The following is a 23,838-nucleotide window of genomic DNA, read 5'->3' as shown; positions in this document are numbered from 1 at the left end:
CACCCTCAAGCAATTCTTTTGCCTCAGCCTCCCAAGTAGCTGGGACTACAGGTGCATGCCACCAAGCTCTGCTATTTTTTTTTTTTTTTATTAGAGATGGGATTTTACCATGTTGGCCAGGCTCTGCTCTTGAACTCCTGACCTCAAGTGATCCTCCTGCCTCAGCTTCCCGAAGTGCTGGGATTACAGGCATGAGCCACCATGCCCAGCCTGAAGTTTTCTGAAGAGTTCTTAAAATCAGGATACTAGGCTCCTAGTAAAGGCAACAGCAGCGGAAAAAAAGGAATGAATTAGATACTATTTAGGAGGCACAACTGATAGAGAATTGTAACTGGCTATAGGTAGAGATGGAGTTTTTGGGCTGGATGACTCAGAACAAAATGATGATTACAAAAAATGAGGCAGGTAATTGATATAACTAAGTTTTTTTTAATTTGACTGCTTGTTAATCATTTTATCAGCCTTCTCAAAGGAAGTTTCTGCATCTGTTTTCCCTTCTTGCCTCCCTGAACCTAAAGAATAAAAACAATGGCAGCAACATTTTTCTGTGGAGCTGGCTTATAGGATAGGACTCGGAAGCAGCACAAGTCACTCCCCCTCACTCCCCTTTCTGGAGTAAACGTGGGCAGGTGGGGAGGGAAGCCTGCATTCTGATTTAGCCTCCCACCTTGGCGGACAATAACTCACCTCTTGGCACCAGAAGACAAGTCACAGCTGCTATTGTCTTGATAATTATGTTTACTCAAGCAGCGGAGTGGGAGTCCTGTGGTCAAGGGAGTGTGACTTGCCAGGTGCTCCCTGTCTAGGGCCTCTTTCCCCCTGAGGTGGATGAAGCTGTTCTCAGGAGCCCTTACAACCAGTTATAAATTACTTTCAGTGAGCTAAGGTCAAAGGCATGGGGAGAATAGTAAGTGACAACATTGAGGATTTATATGACCCCTTCCCTACTAGGAGACCAAACACTTCAAATATATGATCTCATTTGCCCTCCTCTGATCCCTGGAAAATGGAGGGCTTGAGGGAGGCAGTGGTTAGAGGCAGGTGTGAAAGCTCTGGTAAACAACCTTGAATGATCAGTATGGCAATATGGTTTTCTTTCTCTCTCATTTTTCTTTAGTACTTTTTTCTTTCTGGTTTTAGACAAATGAAGCAGACTAATTTTTCCAGGATTTTTTTAAACATTTTTACTTCCCTCCCTTAGTTTGATGGACTTCAGCAAGGTTGTGAGAATGAGTCTACATTTATTGGGGTTCTTTTGCTTTGATCCCTCAAGGAAATGACATGCTGATACCAAAATGCATATTAATAATCAGGATCAATAAATAAGTCAACTCTGATATGGAGAAATCCATAAGGTCATTTATTGAAAACATTAACTATTAAAGATAAATAATTACGGCTGGAATAAGTGCCTACGATTTATTTCCAAGCATTTGCATCTACCACTTGCTATGTGAAACTCTTCCATGAATGAGAAATCTGTTCTGTGCTTCTTTAAAGACACAGGGAGGTTTGAAGTGAATCCTGGAAGGTATCTCATATCTGACTAGTCCAAGGTCACACAGCATGCTACTGGGAGCTCTGACCTTATCACAGAGTCTCTGAAATTCCTATTCAGGTCTCTGCCTTATTTGAACATTGCATCTGTTGCTATTTGCCATACAAAGTAAAGTAACTTGAAAATGGTAGAAATAAACACCACAAAGGCAAAATAGAATGGTAAAAGGATTAGAGGAATGACACAGGAAAAGCGATTACAAGAATTTAATCTGTCACATGAAGCTTTGGGCAAAGAGGATAAAGGGAGGGTGACTGCTTACAAATTGCACAGGCTGTAAGGGGAGGATTTGGGGAGCCCAGACTTGCCAATGGGTAAGTGAGTCTAGTCAAGATGTAGGATTTCAGAAAACTCACTCAGAAGAGCAGGATGAAGATAAAGGAGGCATCATTCAGCAGCAATAACCAGTAAGTAATGGTAGAGATCTTTAGGGTGTGGGCAAGTGACCCTAAAGACTTGCAATGTTAGTTTAGCAATCTGTTTGCAATTTTCAAATGAAAAACACTTGGAACAAAGATAAGCTGCATGGAATAAACTGCCCTAGGGGAGATCATAAATTATCAGAGGTGCCTGGGGAAGTGGGAGAACATAGTTCTCCGTGCAGCTTTTAGCATCTTGCCGATGGAGGTCAGAGTGAAGGTACTGTGGTCAGAGTGAAGGCCTTGGCAGGTAGGACCTTTCACATTCCCAGAGCTACATTAATAGAGCTCCCTGGTCTCTGAACGGTGGGGAGCTATTTTGTAAGCCAATCAGGAACAATTCCACATTCAAGTAAGAGTATACCATCAAACAATTGCTCGGAATCCTAGCAGTTTCAGAGACAGTCTTGACATAACAGGCCGATGCATTTTATTTAATAAACCTAATCTATTCTAAATTTTCATTATGTTATTAAGTCACAACTTAATACCAAATGTGGCGATAATACACCTAGCTATAGATACTTATGTGACTAAGAAACTTCCTCCTCAGCAGATCTAAAGCAGAGGTCTGAAATGAACCCAATTCTGCTCTTTATTTAAGAGTAAACTAATAGTTGTAAAAAGTCATTAGGAAAGAACCTGGAACATCATCTGGGCCAGGCTTGTGAGGATACATATGAGGATATGCATGGGGCCCAGAGGGATTCTTTCCTTACACCAGCACCCACAGCAAAGAGGCAAAACTGCGTTTGAGTTGGGTAGCACACATCTCATCAAATCACAGTGCTTTTTTCTTCTTCTCTTTTCTCAAGCATGATCCTTCATTGTTTGGCACAGCCAGGGGAATTATTAACTAAAAAGATGTTATTTTAGTTAAAATAGTTTAGTTTTGGTTTTGGGAATGATTGCTGTTTTAGCATTTATTAGTGCTTAGTGAAATTTGTAACTTTTAGTTTGAAATTAAAACTGCCCAATTAGGCCAGGTGTGGTGGCTCACACCTGTAATCCCAGCACTTTGGGAGGCTGAGGTGGGCAGATTGCTTGAGCTCAGGAGTTTGAGATCAGCCTGGGAAACATGGAAAAATCTCTTCTCTACAGAAAACACAAAAAATTTGCCAGGTATGGTGCAGTGTACCTGTAGTCCTAGCTACCTGGGAGGCTGAAGTGGGAGGATCACCTGATTCTGGTGGTCGAGGCTGCAGGGAGCTGTGATGGTGCTACTGCACTCCAGCCTGGATGACAGAGTGAGACTCTGTCTCAAAAACAAAACAAAACAAACAACAAACCTGCCCAGTTATATCTACTGCATGATCAATGTAATTGTTCTGTAGTATTATGATTCCTGTAGCAATCTGTAGTTCTACTTTGTAGCTGGATGCAAAAGATAGAGCATAAATACCTCTTCCCTGAATGAGTTGCATTGATTTGAGAGCTCTGTTGAATAGTAGTCCTTTTAGAAATAGCAAGGAGAATCAAACTGAACTGTGTACAAAAAGTAAATGTAACATGACCCAATTTTTTGAAATTATGTAAAACCTTGATTTTTAAAAATGCACCTGTGATTTAAAAACAATGTGTCTAAAACAAATCTGGTGGACAAATTACCTCTGAAACATAATGAAGTTTAAACTAGTAGCAACCTTTAAAGAAATGAATTAAACTCTAACTTGGTGCAGTATAATTTCAGCAGAAATTAAGCTATAAATACCAAAATGTTTTCTAAAACAAACTGAACCAATTTGATGATGGGAAGTGAGAGGAGTTTAGAACCTGGTTTTATAAAAAGAAATTACAAGAAGCAAAACAATTACCAAATAAGTTTGTAGCCTGCAGTAATCACAGTTAGATTTTGGGTGGAAACATCACCTCTGAAATATAAAAAAGTTGCAGATATATTAAAAAAAAGCAGAACAATTTGAAGACAATGCATTCCTCAATGAGTCACATGTAAAAAGCACCAACAGAGAGGTGCATGCTTGCAAATGTTCTTTTTCAATATGCAGTGTTTAAGCTCATGACATTTATTTTTAGGGATGGTCCAAACAGAGCAGGGGTTGGCCTTGTTCTTCTCTAATTTTGTAAGAGGCATTTCTTGCTGGTGAACTCATTTTAGGCAACAGATAGTTGATGACCCTACTGTATCTCTTTTTCAGTATGTCAGTGATTCTTTTTCAGTATGTCCATGATTCAGTATGTCCATGATTCTTTTTTACACTCCAAGGTCAACTAAAACATAGTGTAGATGGAAACCAGGCTTTGAAATAAATTCTACTCAGTGTATTACACAACATAAACACTTGATATCCCTTCAATGCAAAAGAGCACCTCTAATTTATACCATTAAATCCTCTAAATTAGGATTTTAGTGAAACCTTTAGTTGGGTTTAATTGGTGAGTCTTTTTCTGTTCTGGTTTTGATTTTCTTCTGTTGTCATTTGGACCTTGTGGTTGGCTGATCTATTTCTGTGTCCTAATAAGCCTCCTTTGTACTGCTCATGATATTAATATATACTGTAAAATATTTTGTCTCTACAACTGCAAAGTTTCAAGCTTTAGAGTTTTCCTTAACTCTAATGAGTTTTCCTCTCAGGTTTATTGCTCAGGTGAGTTGACTTTTATCACCCTTCTTCACACTGATACAAATAAAGGAAATGACTAGAGGTCTATCTCTCTTCCTATGTGAATGTGCAGTGGTTGCTGCAAAGGGCCACCTTTCAGTGCTATTTTATTGGGAAGAATTTTATAAAGCTTCTTGACTTTGTGTAGGAAAGAAAAACTTCAAGAGTGAATGCAGCCTATAAAAGACTATGCTTACTTCCTTTATCCCACAAAAATAATAATATTATCCAATATGTTCCAGGTACTCATCCATGTTTAGTATATAAAACGAGTCGTGAAGGTAGCAGAAACTCAATAAATATTAGCTGAAATAGTGATGACTGTGTAAATGAGTAGTTACTAGCCTTCTTTTCGACATGAGAAAAGAGACTAGGAGAAGTTAGATAAATACTTAAGTTTATAACCATAGAAAAATCATAGTGACATTATAAAATTTTCTTTGATTTTATCAGCGGGAGTGAACAAGCGCCCAATTATCTCATGATTGAAACTTTGCTGTTAAAATATTTCTAACTATTTAATTTTGGTTACATTATTTAGATTTTCTCACTATTAGTTTTCCTTTTGTTCAACAGACACTAGCCATTTACCAAGATTATGATTGGTAACAAATTGCCATTTGAACCCTTTGAACGCTTAGCTCAAATATTATCACAAATATTGTGAAACCATTTATACCTACATTCTACTTAACTGGAACTCATGAGATTATGCAAAACTTGGGAACTTTATTCCTAAATATACTAAGAAAGATTTAATTTCTTCATTAAATTAACAGCACAATACATAGGAGATTGCTTAAAGAGTAGGAGCTGTTTCAAAGCTTCTGTAGTAAAAAAAAAAAAAGTGATAATTATAAGTGAATCTTATTTACTGATTAAAGAATTCCATGAATAGTCTGGTAGATAGGTACCAGATTTTAATTTTATACACATATATGTGTGTATATATATATATGTGTGTATAAAATTATATATACACACATATATATGTATATGTATATTTCTTAGTTTTTTTTCATTTCCAGTAAAAGAAAAATGAAAGGGTGAAATTTGAGTACAAAACTAACCAATCTGTTCTGAACATATAATTATATGTAATGTTGTTTTTTCACGTCTAGGAACATTTCCTTAGTATGAATGAGTTGCAAAGAGACCAGTATAAGTTCTTAACACGTCAAAAGTATTTTCATAGCACAACAGGGAGTGTTTGCTTCTTCAGTGACTCTCTGGATGGAAGGATGCTCTCACAACCCAGTCTCCGAGCTGGCTCTTTTATTCCCTAGAGAAAGCTGTTCCCTAGTGAGAGTGAACTCGCTGTTGCCTGCTGCTGTGAATGCAGCTTCTTATTAGCTAATCAATTATGAGAATTGATTGGCAAAGAAGTATTCTTCATAACCAGGGGGAGTAAATGAGATTCTATGGATTTCCTTCATTCCTCATTATGTTTGTAAAGTCATTTTTCTTTGACTCCTGCCTACACATGCAGCTTTGTTCATTTTGCATTTCTCTCTCCTAAAGGCCTTGCAAGGATAGAAGCTTCCATTCTCTCCCCATGGCATGGACCAGGTTATTCCAATGCAAGCCTGGTGTTCTGCAATAATTCTGATTTCTAGTTTTTAAGTTTCTCTTGCTTTTTGTCTCCTATTTCACAGAAGCTTTATTGTAGAAGTTGTCCCTTCAACTGAGCCTTAAATAGTGGGCAGGAAATAACCAGGGGAAAGGCTGGAGAAAGAAGAGGACAGGGGTACATTACAACTTTTATGAACCCTAGACACCTTTGTGGTTGTGGGCCTCTTCCTCCATAAATATATTCATATATCCATACAGCAAACCAATCTGTTTCTCATATATATATAATGTATATAACATGTATATTACCTGTATCAGATATCATATATGTCACATATATGTAGTATATATAATGGCATAATCAGTAAGAATAAAATTAAGAAAATAAAAAGAATGACAAAGGTTTTATTAAAAAAAAAAGAAAAGAAAAAGTTTTCCTGGCCATTGTCTGAGGGAAATTTTAAAATGGCTCTGTGAGATCAGGGCTAGATTTAAGACTGTATTATAAATGCGCATGTCTGATTTTTTTTTTTTAAAGGGAGAACTGGTTAATCCTCCCCCAGGGACCTACTCACAGTCTGTTAAATTTTTTTTATATGTTTTTTTTTATTATACTTTAAGTTCTAGGCTACATGTGCACAACGTGCAGGTTTGTTACATATGTATACATGTGCCATGTTGGTGTATGGCACATGTATACATATGTATACATGTATACCTAAGGTATACCTAACGTACACATATGTATACATGTATACCTAAGGTATACCTAACGTACACATATGTATACATGTATACCTAAGGTATACCTAACGTACACATATGTATACATGTATACCTAAGGTATACCTAACGTACACATATGTATACATGTATACCTAAGGTAAATGACCAGTAACTCGTCATTTACCTTAGGTATATCTCCAAATGCTATCCCTCCCTCCTCCCGCCACCCCACAACAGGCCCTGGTGTGTGATGTTCCCCTTCCTGTGTCCAAGTGTTCTCATTGTTCAGTTGAGTCTGTTCAATTTTTAAAGAACATTTCACGGGGGCTTTCGAGCCTGCTGCACTTAAAGGGGCACATTGATGAAAGCTCTTTATGCTCTGAACTGATAACAGTGAGGTCTGTAGCCCGGTGTTTCAAAACCCTGTCCCCAAGTGGAAACCGAATGAGTGCTGATTCAAGGTTTCTGTTTCTTTCAGTGTCTTTATATAGATGATTTTCCCCACATAAAAACTTTGGCTTCATCCTTGCACTACAGGTTGTATTTTTATATTTAAGCTTCAAATTTATGGTATTGCACTACCTGCATCTTTGCAAACATTTTTAAGAGTTCGTTTCTAGGGCACCTTCACAACAATTCAGAAAGGAAGATGTGGCAGGTGATCACCTCTCCCTTATAAACCTAAGGCATCTGAGGCCCTCAAAAGGAGACGCTGAATGTCATAGAGCTTAATGTCACTACTTGGGGTTAGAAGATGGTTGTCTTGATTCTCAGACATGGTTGTGGTTATGGTTGCAGCAGGGATAACAGAGCTTTGCAGCAGTGCCCACCAAAGGCCCAGCCTGGCAGTCCAACATTTCCTGCTTCTCTTTCCCTAGCTTCAGCAGGAGACCCAGTTGACCAGTCCACTCCCTTTGCTTTGGCAACTTTGCAGTGTGTGAGCCCTCTGTCTTCAACATCAGCAGGCTCAGACTCACAAGATGAGGACCTGAACCTGAGGAGCACAGGACGGAGAAGGCCTGACTTCATCTGTTTCTGTCTTTACCCCTCCTAGAACTCCAGGTTTCAGTTTACTCCATCTTCCCTGGTGTCCCTCCAGATTTTTAGGGCACTCGGGGCCTGAGGGAGTGTCTGTGTTCTGTGTGTACATCCCAGCCACACAAGGCCTCTGAAACCTCTCACCTCCCTGCGGAGAGCACCTGAACAGCTTCTAAAACCTTAGCTTAGACTTCCCTGTGTTGTAGGAAACAGTGTCCATTTTTCAAACCTCCCCAGGGGCTCTCTTTCCCTCAGTCGGGGAAGAAGTCTATTTATGGACTTTAATGCATTTTTATTTGTCAGGAAATGATACTTCTGCTTCATTTAAACAACAAAGGAACTTGAAAACTATGGCAGTTTGGTCGCAATATTTGAAAGGTACATTAGAAACAGTTTTAGCTCTAGGCAGCAACACATGTTTTGACAGCTCAGAACTGAGTCAAACCTGCGAATGAGAACTTGCTGAATCTCTGGTTTTAAAAATGACTTACTTTTTAGTGGCAAAATGTGGAAATATTTCATCTTTTCTTTGTCTCATCACCTTTGCTCTTAGAAAATGAAAAGCTGCAACTTTAATAAATAAATAACCCAAATTTTATTCAGAAATTTTATCACATTCCAAATAGTTGCATTAAATAGGTCTAGTGATACCTTTGAGGATAACCACTGAATTTTAATTCATTGTAAGGTTAAAAATGGATTTTGTTGACTGTTAATCTCGTGGAAAGGTGTGCTAGTGGCAAAAACATGAGACTTGGAGTTGAGACAAAGATTTCTGTCCTGGCTCTGCCACTTAATAACCCTGTCTCTCCGGAAAACTCGCTTATCCTCGCTGGGTCTTAGTGACCTGGGAACATCAGCGTCTGCTTCCAAGACCTGTGAAGATTTAGTGACATATGCGGATTTTATAAACGTTAAAATATTATGTCAATGTTAGTTAATATTTACTTCTGCCCTTCCAAAAGCAGGAACAATTTGTGGTTTAAAAATCTGTAAATTGAGTTTGTTATTTCTCTAATCCTCTGTGAATTTAGTCGAAAGTTATGAGAAATTAAAACATCATGCAATTTTACCTCCATTTATTATTGAATCAGATAATTTAATATTTTATGTCTATCTATAGTATTATAATCACTCATATTTGGAGATTATGAATTCAAAGATCATTAGAGCTAGAGAACTTTTGCAGATAACCAAAGTTCTCCTTTAGGTGTGTGTGATTTGAGGCTCAGAGAGGGTGAGTCACTTGTCTCGAATCACCAGCTTGCTGCAGGCTGACTTAGGGCACCAGTACTATGGCCCTGTTTTCATGCCTCACAATTCACAGGCCGTGTGTCCACCATGGGTTTGGAAAGTGGGAGGGGGACAGCTAAGGTGGGTGGGAGGCGAGGATTGTGCTTCCTTAGTGGTGAATGGGAAGACTTGCACCTCTCTGTCCCAGCACTTGTCACCATTCTTGCCTGTGTTTCAGGCAAAAAAAGGTTTTTGTGGGATAGAGCTTTGTGCTGCAGAAAGAACATCCCTGCCCGCAAGTAGCTGTCCGTGTTAGGGTAAGCCCTTTAAACCAGGTACACGTGCTTAAGCTCAGGCTCTCATCTGTGATTTTCTCTAAGGCTGAAATGCAATAATTCTTATAACACATGCAGCATAATGTCTCATAATGGCAGATTCTATTATTTGTTTTCTGGTTGAAGGTTTTCAACTTTCTCTAAGTCTTCTCTAAAGGAATTACTCTTAAAATAAGGGAGATTTTGTTTTCCATCTTTGTTTTTGTACCTGAAAGTAAAAATGTTAAATATCCTCGGTGGCAATGAAGGAAAAGACCTCAGGAGTGAGCTTCTTACGTTCTTTATCTCCACCTCATAAAGGTCAGAGGGACAGGGCGGTGGGTCCCTGCTGACCCGTGACAATCAGGAAGAGCCTCTGACTTTCTGTTCCTGATTGAGAAAGATTTTCTATTGGCCTGTGGGACATTTTAGCAGACAGGTGAGTTCCTTAAGTGCTGCTGACAGTCCTTTGATAACAGGGACAAGGTTATAATTGTATTGAAAAGGTTCCTGGAAGAGAATTTCTGAAAGGTATCCCAAAACATCTTGTTCTTATGGCTAATGGGCTCTATTCAGAGTTTTTCCAAGTGACTGATGGCCTTCACTTGCATCACCTCTCTCCGTTCTGATACTGACAGAAGAAAAGAAAACATCTTAGAGCCAGACACAGGCACTAATGCAATGTGATTCATTCTTACACTTAGAAAGGGGAGAGCTGCTACAAAACATATTCCCGGCACTTGGAGGCATAGGATCTGGGTTCGACTCAGCTCTGATTCTTCTCAGCTGTGAGACCTTGGTCTGGGCCTGTTATTGAATGTCTTTGAGCTTTATTGTCTTCGCTTATCAGCTGGGGATAATTACATAATTTGGAGTAAGAGACAGGACATGGGCCTTAGAGTCAAGTAGAACTCAGTTCACATCCTGACTACAATCTGTAGGGCTGGAGTTTTGGAGAATGTTAGTCAAACTGAATGAGTAGACTGAGTGCGGTGGCTCACATCTATACTCCCAGCATTTTGAGAGGCTGAGGTGGGAGGACTGCTTGAGCCCAGGAGTTTGAGATCAGCCTGGGCAACATAGTGATACTCTGTCTCTACAAAAAATTAAAAAAAAAAAAAAAAAAGAACTTAGCTTGATATGGTAGCACATGCCTATAGTCCCAGCTACATTGGAGGCTTAGGTGAGACGATCACTTGAGCCCAGGAGTTTGAGGCCTTATTGAGCTAGAATTATGCTACTCCACCCCAGGATGGGCAACAGAGTGAGACCCTGTCTTAAAATAAAAACAAAAAACCTGAATGAGTCACTGTTACCCATAAAGTCACCTCATGGTATTAATATTGGGGCAGGCTCAGTGAGTTTTCTAAGTTAAATGGCCAGCACAGAAGAGATGCATTGATTACTATTAGTTTTCTCTCTATTGTATAGAGATATGACAGATTGATAAAAATGAGTGGGGACTAGAATATAGCATAAAACAGTAAGTAAAGAGTAACATTTTGATAAAGTACTATGTTGTCAGAAGACAGGGAAAGCAAAATATTCTCTTTGTAATGTAGTCAGATCTTTTACCAAGGGCTGCTTTGGAGGTGATCAACTTTTTATTTTTATTTTTTTCTTTAATGACGGAAGTACTATACTTGAAGGTGGAATTCAACAAGCAGACACATCATTATTACAGTGGATAGACTGTGTAAGGTAAACTTCCATAAAGATACAGTGTGACCATTGAGATCTATCACATTGCAGACTGGCTGGAGTCCAGTTTATTCCATGCTTGACATTAAAAGAATACTTTAGCACTTTGGGTCAAGTATGACATTGTGGTACTTGAATAATTAAAGGAATAGGGGACAGGTATTAATATCTAGGGAAAATTATTCAACTTCCTGCTAATGAGATGAGGTTCCAGCAATGAGTGTGGGGAAGAAAAGTGTAATTTGATTTGCATCCTCAGTTTGGGAAGACATTTATATTGGTTACATTTAGACAGTATGCTTTCTCTTATATTTCCATTTTCAATGACCTGTCCTATTCCTGGTGTACATTTTACTGCCAATCCAAACTTTGAAAATTACATGTGGCCTTGTGTATGGGCAGGGTACTTCATGCTGTGGTAGGGGGCCTGCACATGTGTAGTGTACTTGCAGAGCACAGTGGGGAGAGAGTGTGAGGGAGACAGGTGTTCACTTTGAAGACTGTGCATGTGGGTTGCTGTCATTAGGAAGAGGGACAGTAAAGACAGGACCAAACTTATTTCTAGTGACCTTGATCTGACTTTGGATTGGGTGTTCTGATCAAAGATTACTAAAGGACATATTTACTGTAGAAACAAATTTCAAAAATATTTCCCTTTCACTATAGTTGAGACTGATTCTCCTCTTATTCTCCTTTCTCGTGTGTAACTGTTGATGCTACATTTGTACTTTTGCAATTGCATAAAACTTTTCAAAGTAATCTGAAATTAGAGAATACTCACTTCTTATAAATTGTATTTCATTAATTCAGTTGTGAGTTTCTTTAATAAATATTTGGACTTGTGAATAGAGAAAAAAGTTTCACATGTTGAAGAAGTACTCTCATTGTGAATGGAGAAAAAGTTCCACATTAGCAATAATGGATTTCCTACCAATTGGAGGGTAATTATTTGCTTGGTTTGGCAAGGAATAAAGAGCTTCAAAGGTTTAAAGCAAATCTTTAAAGTAGTGGAGCTTTGTTTGCCAAGCACGTACCAAAACAAAAAAAAAAGAGTGAGAGAAATATAAGTCAGGAATGGACATGAAGTGAAAAAATTTCTACCAAAAATTCCTTCTGAAATTTGAGATTTGGTCCATGCTGGTCTTATTATATGACTATTTTGAATTTTATTTGTTCAACAATACTGTTGACATACAGGCTTTTCTGATAATATAAGAAATAGATGTTTATTATAATAAATTCCAAATTCATTTTTTTTTTGTTCTCATTTTGTTTTATTTCTTCTGCTTGTTTTCCAGCTTATTTTGCTCCTCTTTTCCTTGGTTCCTTAGGTTGGAGCTTATATTATTAACTTGAGATTTCCTTTCTTTTCTAATGTAGGCTATAAACTTCTCTCTCAGCATTGTGTTAGTTATATCCCACAAATTTCAATTTGTTTGGTTTTTATTTTTATTCAGTTCAATTTTTAAAAAATTTCCCTTAGGTATTGCTCTGTGACCCATGGATTATTTAGAAATGTGTTCTTTAGTTTTTATGTGTTTGGAGGTTTTCCTGTTATTGATTTCTACTTTGGTTCCATTGTCATTAGGGAATATGGTTCATATGATTTCAGTTCTGTTTAAATGCACTGAGGTTGTTATATAACACAGAATGTGATTTGTCTTGGTCTATATTTTGCAGATACTTGAAAATAATGTGTATTCTGCTTTTCTTGCATGGAATGTTCTATAAATGTCAGATCTTGTTGGTTGATGATACTGCTGAGTTCTTCTATATTCTTGCTTATTTTCTGCCTAGCTGTGTCAATCACTGAGAGAAGGTTGTTGATGTCTCCAACTGTAATGCGGATTTTACTGCTATTTGTCCTCTCAGTTTTATCAGATTTTGCTGCTCATGTGTTGCAGCCCCATTATTTGGTCTATGCACATTTAGGATTGCTACACCTTCTTGGTAGATTGACTCTTTTATCGCTTGAAAATGTCCCTGTCTGTCTCTGGTAATTTTATTTGCTCTAAAGCTTACTTTATCTGATATTAATATAGCCACTCTTGCTTTATATTCATTAATGTTTCCATAATATAGTTTTTCCATCATCCTAGTTTCAACATGCTATATGATTATATATGAAGTGAATTTATTGTAGACAGCATATAATTATCTTTTATTTTAAAATTCACTCTGCCAATCTTATTTTAATTGGTGAATTGGATTATTTACCTTTGATATAATTATTGATTTGAATTGCTTCTTTTTTTTTTTCTTTTTTTTTTTTAAGACAGAATCTCATCTTATCACCCAGGCTGGAGTGCAGGGACACAATCTCAGCTCAATGCAACCTCCACCTCCTTGGTTCAATCGATTCTTGTGCCTCAGCCTCCTGAGTATCTGGGATTATAGGCATGCACCACCATGTCCAGCTAATTTTTGTATTTTTAGTAGAGGCGGGGTCTCACTGTGTTGGCCAGGCTGGTCTCAAACTCCTGGCCTCAAGTGACCTGGCTGCTGCGGCCTTCCAAAGTGCTAAGATTACAGGCACAAGCCACCATGTCTGGCCTGTTAGGGTATACTTTTTAAATGTATACATTAATCTTTATTCTCTGTGTTTTTTATTTCTCCATTTTGTTTATTTTTCTGGCTTTCTTGTGGGATAGTTGCTGTTTAATAGAATTCCATTTTTAATTAACTGTGGTGTTTTTGAATGTATCTATTTGTATGACTGTTTTAGTGGTTATATGAGGTATTGCATTAAACATATAACTTATTACTATCTACTGGTGTTGATATTTTACCAGTTCATGTGAGCCATGGAAGCCTTACCTGCCTTTACAAATCCCATTTTATAATAGAAGTCTATTTCCTGCATATACATTGAGAACCAAACCAACACGTGTTATGTTTTTGCTTTAACCATCAAATATAATTTAGAAATTCAAGGGACAAAGGAAATTCATTTTATTTATCTATTTTTTTTTTACTCCTTCCATTGTTCTTTTTTTCCTTCTTAATATTTCAGGAATCCTTTTATTTTTTAAAAAAAACAAAATAATAGATGACTTTTAGCTATCTTTTTATGGAAAGTTTTTTGGCAACAAAATTTATTAGTTTTTTCTTCATCTGAAAACATGCTTATTTCCCTTTTATTCCTGAAGAATATTTTGCTGGATGTAAAATTCTGGGTTGAGAAGTCCAGCCTCTGCCCCCTGCCAAAAAAAAGGTATCATTTATTTCTGGCTTCCATGGTTTCTGGTGAGAAATCAGCCGGTAGTCAACTGTTTTTTTTCTTTATAGGTAAAGTATCATTTCTCCCCTTCTGCTTTCAAGATATTTTGTTAGTTTACTTTCAGAAGTTTAACTATCATGTGTGGCAAACAGAATAATTTCCTCTCAAAGGTGTCTACCTCCTAATCCCTGGAACTTGTGACTATGCTACCTTACAAAGGGGTTTTATAAATGTGATTGAGCATCTTGAGAGGGGAAGATTTTTAAGGCTTATCTGGGTGGGCTCAATGTAATAACAAGGGTCTTTTTAAGAGGAGCATCAGAGACGGGGTAGAAGATGTGGTGATGGGAACAGAGTTGAGATAGATTGGGAGAAGGGGAGTAGGAGGGAAGGGAAAGGGAAAGAGAAGGGAAGGAGGAGAGAGAGATGAGAGAAAGAGAGGGAAAGAGAAAGGAGGATGATTCTACTTCTATGTTCTTCTGTATTTGTCCCAAACTGGTTTTCTCCTGGACCGCTATTTTTTAAATAGAAAAGTTCTACCTGGAGTTATTTGTCCTAAAATGGATGGAGAGGATTACTCCTTAATTCTCCTTCGATGACTGGTACACAATCTGAAGAATTCTTTTAGAACTTGGACTGGAGGTATGCATATAAATGTGCTGGATTTAAGTTGATCTGTGCTAGATGATGGTAGCATAGCAGTAAGAGTGAGCAGGGCAGTGAAAAGTCGGTCTCAGAGAAGTTTCTGTCTAGGATCAGGAAATGTTGTCCTCCTGAGGAGAGTGTGTTAATAACCCCCTGAGATTTTAAATATTCCCTGGCTTTGTGTCAAATATGCCATTCTTCAGAGAAGCTGAGTCTATACGCAGTCACGTGACACCTTTTCGAAATTTTAATTGTTTTTTGAGCATTGGCAATTGCTTATTTCTGGTGAATTGACTTTACTCTGCAGCCCTAAGCCTACTGCCAGATTATTGATCTATAGGTTCATGAATGTTGGTCTTTTTATTACACCTGTGAACTGGGCTTTTCCTTGTTGGAAGGCAGTCTAGGAAGTAAAGATGTTAGTTAAAACTGATGACTCTCTCTATCAGCTTTGCCTCTGCTATTATACTTTTCTGAGGTGGGAAAATGGTCCATGTGTAGGGAAGGCACACTTTCCCTATAGCCCATATTGTCCTTTCCCTCAAGTTTGTTTTTTTCAGTAGGACTCTTCAGAAGTCCTTATTTGCTTCCTGAAGACTTCTGAAGATCCAAGAAAACACAGAATCTCATCAGACTCACCTTGTCTACTAATCTGGGGTCTATGTCTCCTACTTCAGCTACCATCACCCTGGCTCTCTTCCCCTATTGCTCTGTACATGTCCCTTCATCAGATACAATTTCCCACTCTTTTCTCTCAAACTATTTCACTAGCTCTTCAAAATTTCCAGACTGTCAATTTTCTTATGCTCTAAACTTTAAAAAAAATTATTTCACTACTTCATTTTAAGTAAAATAAGGCTGCCCTACAAGGACTCTACATTTCTTGCTGTTCTTTCAAAATTAAGCTAATTAAGTTTTGTTTGTTGGTTTATTTGTTTCTCTTTCTTTTTACTCTCTCTCATCTTATGATCAGGAATTTGTCTAGGTGTTCATTTATTCTTCATTGCCACTTTCAGATATGTATATCCTTGCTTCTTTTGGAGGGTTTTGGACAGTTCTCCTGCTTTCTTGGAGCTCATATTTTCTGGCTAGACCTCTTTTCCCATCCTGGTTACTATCTTCTGCAAATAATACATTCTCTTCCTCCTTCTCCTTCTCCTCCTCTTCCTCCTTCCCCTCCCCCTCCTGCTTCTCCTCCTTCTGCTTCTGCTTCTTCTTTCTCTCTTCTTCTTTTTCTTCTCCTCCTCTTCCTTCTCTTTCTCCCTCTCTTCCTCTTCTTTTTTCTTCCTTCTCCTTCTTTATTTGAATGTGTTGCACTATACTCTTTCTTGTTACTTCACTTGCCATTGTCAGGGACTTCATCTACATGGATAAATCATTCAGTAGCCTCTCAGTTCTTTCTTTCTTCAAATCATCATTGTTATTTGCAACTCGGTCACAGGTGATACTCTAGAATTTGTTATCAGCTAACACTGGATCATCTCTGAGGCCACAGCACTAAACATACTAATTTCTTTTCATAGCCTCCATTAGTTTTGGTCTAAAGAACCCTGATTTTTTCCTTCCCTGAATATTTAAAAACCACATCAAAGATTTTAATGCAAGGATCTCTTTACTTTCTTGTGTTCAATAAGTCCGTCACTTTTCAGCTTTCTAGTCATGGATTAAGCCATTATTATTATTACTTTCTTGAAAATATCATCAGTGCCATTGTCTTTGTCTTCCTCTCTTTTGCCCACATCAGATGGAAGTTATGATCCATATCCTCAGGGTCTGCACCTGAACAGACACTGCTCAGAATGTCACACAAGTGAGCCAACCAGTTTTGTTTCCCTATCTCGTCACTAAGATGAAAGGAGAATTGCTTCAAAATTATTCCATGTGTCTCAAATAAACCTTTTTATCATGGTCCAAAATGACTGTCTTAAAGCTAATTCTCTTTTCATGCCATTCTTCATCACACTCAGCTGATGACCTAGCTTCATATTTCAAACTGAAAATTCAAGCCATCAGATGTGAATTGCTTTATTATTTTTGTCATGGGAGCCCTCTTAATATATACTATGTGACAGCTGGTGTTCATCTCTCAGGTGTATATGTCTAGGATCATAAATCTTAAAGCTAAGACGTGCCTCCCTTCACAGCTTCCGAGCTGCTTATATGCCCCATTCAACATTCCTCCCGAGACAAGTTTCTGAGAAAGAGGAGAAAAAAGTTAGCTTTCTTTGTGCAGATCCTCTATCCTTCCTCTGTGTGTGTGTGTGTGTGTGTGTGTGTGTGTGTGTATGTGTATGTATATATATATATATAGCCAGATGTAGACATTTGGAAGGAGAAGTAATTACAACAGAGGAAGCCAAAAAACATCTGTACCTGACCGTTGAGCTATGTTGCAGCTTAAAGTCAGCGATCCCTCTGGGAAGTTCCCTTCTCCAGCAACCACTGTGATATATTATACACGAACACAGCATCCTGCAGACTCACTTCTTCTACCACGACCAGATTTCAGTGACAACAACAGCATATTCAGGCAGCTTCTGGCCTCCAGTGGTGATGGGGAAGAAGCTACTCTGGCTGACTTCCTCTAATCTATCAGGAGAAATAGCTGCTCAGATTGGGAAACACTTTAACATTCTTCACCCAGCCAACCTATATACAATTCAACCCATGTTTTCCTTCTTCCTGCTTTTAGTATAGAAAGCATTTTTTCACTATTAGTGACTTTACTGCTGTAGTAAATTTCTTTCCATCTTGTTTTTCAATAGCCTCTGTCTTTGGCTAGTTACTCCCCTGCGTCATTTGTATTTAGCTTCTCTGATGAATCTTCCCCAGTGTCTTAGGACCATTCTTTAGCATCAACCACCTGAAAAAAACAAACTCTGTATCCCCCACAGTTTTATTCCAGAAACTTCCCCATTTCTTTTTCATGAGCCATTCTACCCGTATTTTCCCTGGACTTTATTATAGCAGTCACTGAGTGCTTTGTTTTTGTGTGTGCTTTGTTTTTAATTTTGAAAATTAAAAGAAAATTCAGAGGTTAATAATAGATACCCATACACCTAACATACAGAATTAATAAAAATATGTTATCATTTCTTCACCAATCATGTAATATAGCTATCTATAAATAGATATAAATCTCTGTTACTCAAGTGTATTTCTAAGCCTCCCTCCCTAAAGTAAATTTCTATCTTGAATTTGATGTGTTTCCTTCCACTCTACCTTTTAGATGTGCTTTTATTTTGCAAATTATTGTTAAAGCTATCATGCCACAATTAATCATTTAATTCAATATTATGAAGATAAGCAAGGATCTGGTTAGTTTATTTTAGTTTCTATAGTATTTCATTTTATGAATATACCATATTTTGGAGGCATTTATGTTGTTTCAAGTTTTTCTAGTAGATGATGTGAATTTTGCTAAGTATACACCAAAAACCACAATTACTGTATACTCAAGTGTGTTCATTTCAATTTCACTAGATTTCTACTTGCTCTCCAAATTGGCTTTATAAACTGGTAATGTCAAACTTCCTGAATTATGCCAATCAGCTGGTGGATGTGCAATAGCTGCTCAGTGCTTTAGTTCACACTCTCCTGATTTTCTGTGAGGTTGCATGCATTTTCATATTTATTCGCTATTTTCTCCACTGGGAATTGCCTGTTCAGTTAAATTAGTTACTTTGCACATTTTTTCTAGTAGATTATTTTTGTCTTAAATATTGACTTGTAGGCATTCTTTTTCTTTTCTGTAGACTAAAACTCTTGGTTATATATATTGGAAATATCTTCTGCCAATTTGATCTGTTTTTAACTTTGTATATGGCACTTTTATATTATAGAACTTTAAAATCTCATATGATCACATTTATTAATTTATTCTTTTTGTTGTTATTAATGTGTTTTAGCTAAGAAATTTTTACATTCTCAGCAGTGCTTAAAAACATTCTACATTTTCTTATAGGTGCATTACAAGTTTGATTTTATAATTCAGATGTTTAATGCATGTGGAAGTTTTTTTGTATGTGTGATATGAAGTGGTGCTCTAGACTCTATTCTCCATAAGGAAAGCCAACTGAGTCACTATACATTTTTATGAAGAGTTTACCACTGCATACTGATTTGTATGCTATGGACAGCAGGTACTAATCCCCACATATGCTTGAGTCTGTTTCCAGTATCTCTACTGATTTCCTTTATTGGTCTACTTCTCAACCTCTGTCTAAATATTTTAATTACCATATCTTTATAAAGTCTTAAGTCTAGTAGCGAAAGTTACCTTACTTCTTGTTTAGTTTTTAGAATTATTTTGGAGAATATTAAATAATTGCTTTCAATTCATTTTAGAATTAGTCTGTTTAGCTCCATGAAAAATCATGTTGAAATTTTGATTTAAATAGTTCTGATATATGGATTATTTGTGGGAATGCTAATCTACTTAGGAGAGTGAGTTTTTTAAATTCATGAGCAAATTATACAAGTTCATCTATATAAATCTCTTATCTTCTTCAATAGCATTTTATAATTTTCTTTTTGTGGGTATTCTACATATTTTGATAGATTTATTCTACATCTCTTATAGTTCAGTGGCTGTTGTGAGTGATATATTTTTCTATGAAATCTATTATTGTTGATATATAAGGCGACATTTATCTTTTAATTTTGATCTTGATTTAAGCAATACTTCTAACTTCTTTTATTAGATTTTGGATAATCTATGTAAATTATCACAATGTTCTGTAACAATGAGTACTTTTCTCTTTATTTGTCCAGTTCTGAGAATCTCTTTGTAAAAAAATTACATGTTGTTGAATGGAAGCATGATGTTATTTTATGAAAGTTCAAAGTGGACAGAAGGATGGTGTGATTCATGAGTAGCCTAAAGCATGGACCTCTTAGAATGGGCATAGAATGCCAAGGTATTTGTGTTGAATGTGGCTGCTTACCAAAGAGCATCAGCTGTAAAAGGAGTCCTTGATCATCAAATGGGCAAGATGCCCCTTTGTGTGGATGCTGGTCATTCTCTGCCCCCAACTCCTTTAGCACTTACTCACTGGGCCTATGTATATAGTGGTCATAGAACAGGAGATAGAGGTTATGCAAAGGTTCGGCAACATGGACTTCCCCTCACCAAGACTGAGGGGCTACTGCCAGTGATGAACACCTGGCTTTCCAACAGCAGAGACCATATTGGTAAGTAGCACCATTCCCTAGGAAAACAAGCCAGCCTTGGTAAGTAGCACCATTCCCTAGGAAAACCAGCCAGATACCTGGTAACAGCTTGATTCTAGTGGACCCTATCCTGCATGGAGTGGCTATTACTTATCTATCATTGAAATAATTATTAATTTGAGATATAAATGTGCCTTTACTTACTGTTATAGTTATGCCAGCCTTATTATACGTGAATTCAGAATGCCTTGCTCACTGACATAATATCCTACACAATATTATTCTGGTCAATGGATTTTTCAAAACCTAAGACATCAAGTAATGGGTTCACACTCAAAATTCACTGCTCTTTTCATATATCCTATCACTTAAAAATCATTTGGCTTGACAGGACACAGAATAGTTCATTAAAGGCCCAGTTTTGGTGCCAACTGTGAGACAACATTCACGATGCAGCATATTGTTTAAATCAAAAATATATGATACTACTTCACAAATAACCAGAATCATGATCAGGTAGTCAACTGGTAGAAGAGGAATTGACTCCTTTGTTTTTTATTTGTATAAATTTAAGGGGTACAAGTGCAATTTTGTTTCATGGATTATTGCATAGTGATGAAGCCTTGACTTTAAGCAGATCCATCATTTGAATATTGTGCATTTTATCCATTAAGAAATTTCTCGTCACTCATCCCCCTTCTGCCACCTAAAACTTTTTGAATCTCCAGTATCTATCATTCTATACACTATGTCCATGTGTATGCATTATTTAGCTCCCATTTATAAGTGAGAAAATTTGACTTTCTGTTGTTTCAGTTAAGATAATGGCCTTCTGTTCTTTCTATGTTGCTGCAAAAGACAAATTTACATTCTTTTTATGGCTGAATAGTATTTTATTGTGTATATACACCAACTTTTCTTTTTTTTAAATTATACTTTAAGTTTTAGGGTACGTGTGCACAACATGCAGGTTTGTTACATGTGTATACACGTGCCATGTTGCTGTGTTGCACCCATTAACTCGTCCTTTACATTAGGTATACCTCCTAATGCTATCCCTCCCCCCTCCCCCAACCCCACGACAGGCCCCGGTGTGTGATGTTCCCCACCCTGTGTCAATGTGTTCTCATTGTTCAATTCCCACCTGTGAGTGAGAACATGCAGTGTTTAGTTTTTTGTTCTTGTGATAGTTTGCTGAGAATGATGGTTTCCAGCTTCATCCATGTCCCTACAAAGGACATGAACTCATCATTTTTTATGGCTGCATAGTATTCCATGGTGTATATGTGCCACATTTTCTTAATCCAGTCTACCATTGTTGGACATTTGGGTTGGTTCCAAGTCTTTGCTATTGTGAATAGTGCCTCAATAAACATACGTGTGCATGTGTCTTTATAGCAGCATGATTTATAATCCTTTGGGTATATACCCAGTAATGGGATGGCTGGGTCAAATGGTATTTCTAGCTCTAGATCCCTGAGGAATCACCACACTGACTTCCACAATGGTTGAGCTAGTTTACAGTCCCACCAACAGTGTAAAAGTGTTCCTATTTCTCCACATCCTCTCCAGCACTTGTTGTTTCCTGACTTTTTAATGATTGCCATTCCAACTGGTGTGAGATGGTATCTCATTGTGGTTTTGATTTGCATTTCTCTGATGGCCAGTGATGATGAACATTTTTTCATATGTCTTTTGGCTGCATAAATATCTTCTTTTGAGAAGTGTCTGTTCATATCCTTTGCCCACTTTTTGATGAGGTTGTTTGTTTTTTTCTTCTAAATTTGTTTGTGTTCATTGTAGATTCTGGATATTAGCCCTTTGTCAGATGAGTAGATTGCAAAAATGTTCTCCATTCTGTAGGTTGCCTGTTCACTCTGATGGTAGTTTCTTCTGCTGTGCAGAAGCTCTTTAGTTTAATTAGATCCCATTTGTCAATTTTGTCTTTTGTTGCCATTGCTTTTGGTGTTTTAGACATGAAGTCCTTGCCCATGCCTATGTCCTGAATGGTATTGCCTAGGTTTTCTTCTAGGGTTCTTATGGTTTTAGGTCTAACATTTAAGTCTTTAATCCATCTTGAATTAATTTCTTATAAGGTGTAAGGAAAGGATCCAGTTTCAGCTTTCTACATATGGTTAGCCAGTTTTCCCGGCACTGTTTATTAAATAGGGAATCCTTTCCCCATTTCTTGTTTTTGTCAGGTTTGTCAAAGATCAGATAGTTTTAGATGTGTGACATTATTTGTGAGGGCTCTGTTCTGTTCCATTGATCTATATCTCTGTTTTGGTACCAGTAACATGCTGTTTTGGTTACTGTAGCCTTGTAGTATAGTTTGAAGTCAGGTAGCGTGATGCCTCCAGCTTTGTTCTTTTGGCTTAGGATTGACTTGGCAATGTGGGCTCTTTTTTCATTCCATATGAGCTTTAAAGTAGTTTTTTCCACTTCTGTGAAGAAAGTCATTGGTAGCCTGATGGGGATGGCATGAAATCTATAAATTACCTTGGGCAGTATGGCCATTTTCCCAATATTGATTCTTCCTATCCATAAGCATGGAATGTTCTTCCATTTGTTTGTGTCTTCTTTTATTTCTTTGAGCAGTGTTTTGTAGTTCTCCTTGAAGAGGTCCTTCACATCCCTTGTAAGTTGGATTCCTAGGTATTTTATTCTCTTTGAAGCAATTGTGAATGAGAGTTCACTCATGATTTGGCTCTCTGTCTGTTATTGGTGTATAAGAATGCTTGTGATTTTTGCACATTGATTTTGTATCCTGAGACTGCTGAAGTTGCCTATCAGCTTAAGGAGATTTTGGGCTGAGACGATGGGTTTTTCTAGATATACAATCATGTCATCTGCAAACAGGGACAATTTGACTTCCTCTTTTCCTAATTGAATACCCTTTATTTCCTTCTCCTGCCTAATTGCCCTGGCCAGAACTTCCAACACTATGTTGAATAGGAGTGGTGAGAGAGGGCATCCCTGTCTTGTGCCAGTTTTCAAAGGGAATGCTTCCAGTTTTTGCCCATTCAGTATGATATTGGCTGTGGGTTTGTCATAGATAGCTCTTATTGTTTTGAGATACATCCCATCAATACCTAATTTATTGAGTGTTTTTAGCATGAATGGCTGTTGAATTTTGTCAAAGGCCTTTTCTGCATCTATTGAGATAATCATGTGGTTTTAGTCTTTGGTTCTGTTTATACGCTGGATTACGTTTATTGATTTGCATATGTTGAACCAGCCTTGCATCCCAGGGATGAAGCCTGCTTGATCATGGTGGATAAGCTTTTTGATGTGCTGCTGGATTCGGTTTGCCAGTATTTTATTGATGATTTTTGCATTGATGTTCATCAGGGATATTGGTCTAAAATTGTCTTTTTTTGTTGTGTCTCTGCCAGGCTTGGTATCAGGATGATGCTGGCCTCATAAAATGAGTTAGGGAGGATTCCCTCTTTTTCTATTGATTGGAATAGTTTCAGAAGGAATGGTACCAACTCCTCCTTGTACCTCTGGTAGAATTCGGCTGTGAATCCATCTGGTCCTGGACTTTTTTTGGTTGGTAAGCTAGTAATTATTGCCTCAATTTCAGAGCCTGTTATTGGTCTATTCAGAGATTCAACTT

At 37.5% G+C, this 23,838-nt stretch overlaps 1 long non-coding RNA gene across 1 annotated transcript in view, besides 1 other annotated feature; it reads left to right on the top strand.

Annotated features, from left to right (window-relative positions):
* Window positions 448–1,005: an enhancer, noted in NCBI's record as "OCT4-NANOG hESC enhancer chr2:14541927-14542484 (GRCh37/hg19 assembly coordinates)". NCBI's record gives its function as "activates a minimal SCP1, AML or CMV promoter by ChIP-STARR-seq in naive H9 embryonic stem cells {active_cell/tissue: H9 hESC(naive)}" and the evidence as "EXISTENCE:reporter gene assay evidence [ECO:0000049][PMID:30033119]".
* The window catches only part of LINC00276 (long intergenic non-protein coding RNA 276), a 172,085-nt gene continuing 150,096 nt past the window's right edge, over window positions 1,850–23,838 (top strand). Inside the window, exon 1 of the long non-coding RNA NR_103814.2 lies at window positions 1,850–1,965. This is a non-coding gene — a long non-coding RNA (long intergenic non-protein coding RNA 276). The remainder of the gene's footprint in view (window positions 1,966–23,838) is intronic.

The sequence above is a fragment of the Homo sapiens genome, chromosome 2 (genome assembly GCF_000001405.40).
Source record: "Homo sapiens chromosome 2, GRCh38.p14 Primary Assembly".
NCBI classification, from domain to species: Eukaryota; Metazoa; Chordata; class Mammalia; order Primates; family Hominidae; genus Homo; species Homo sapiens.
Note: the sequence above shows the minus strand (reverse complement) of the source record. Positions and strands in the feature narration are given on the sequence as shown.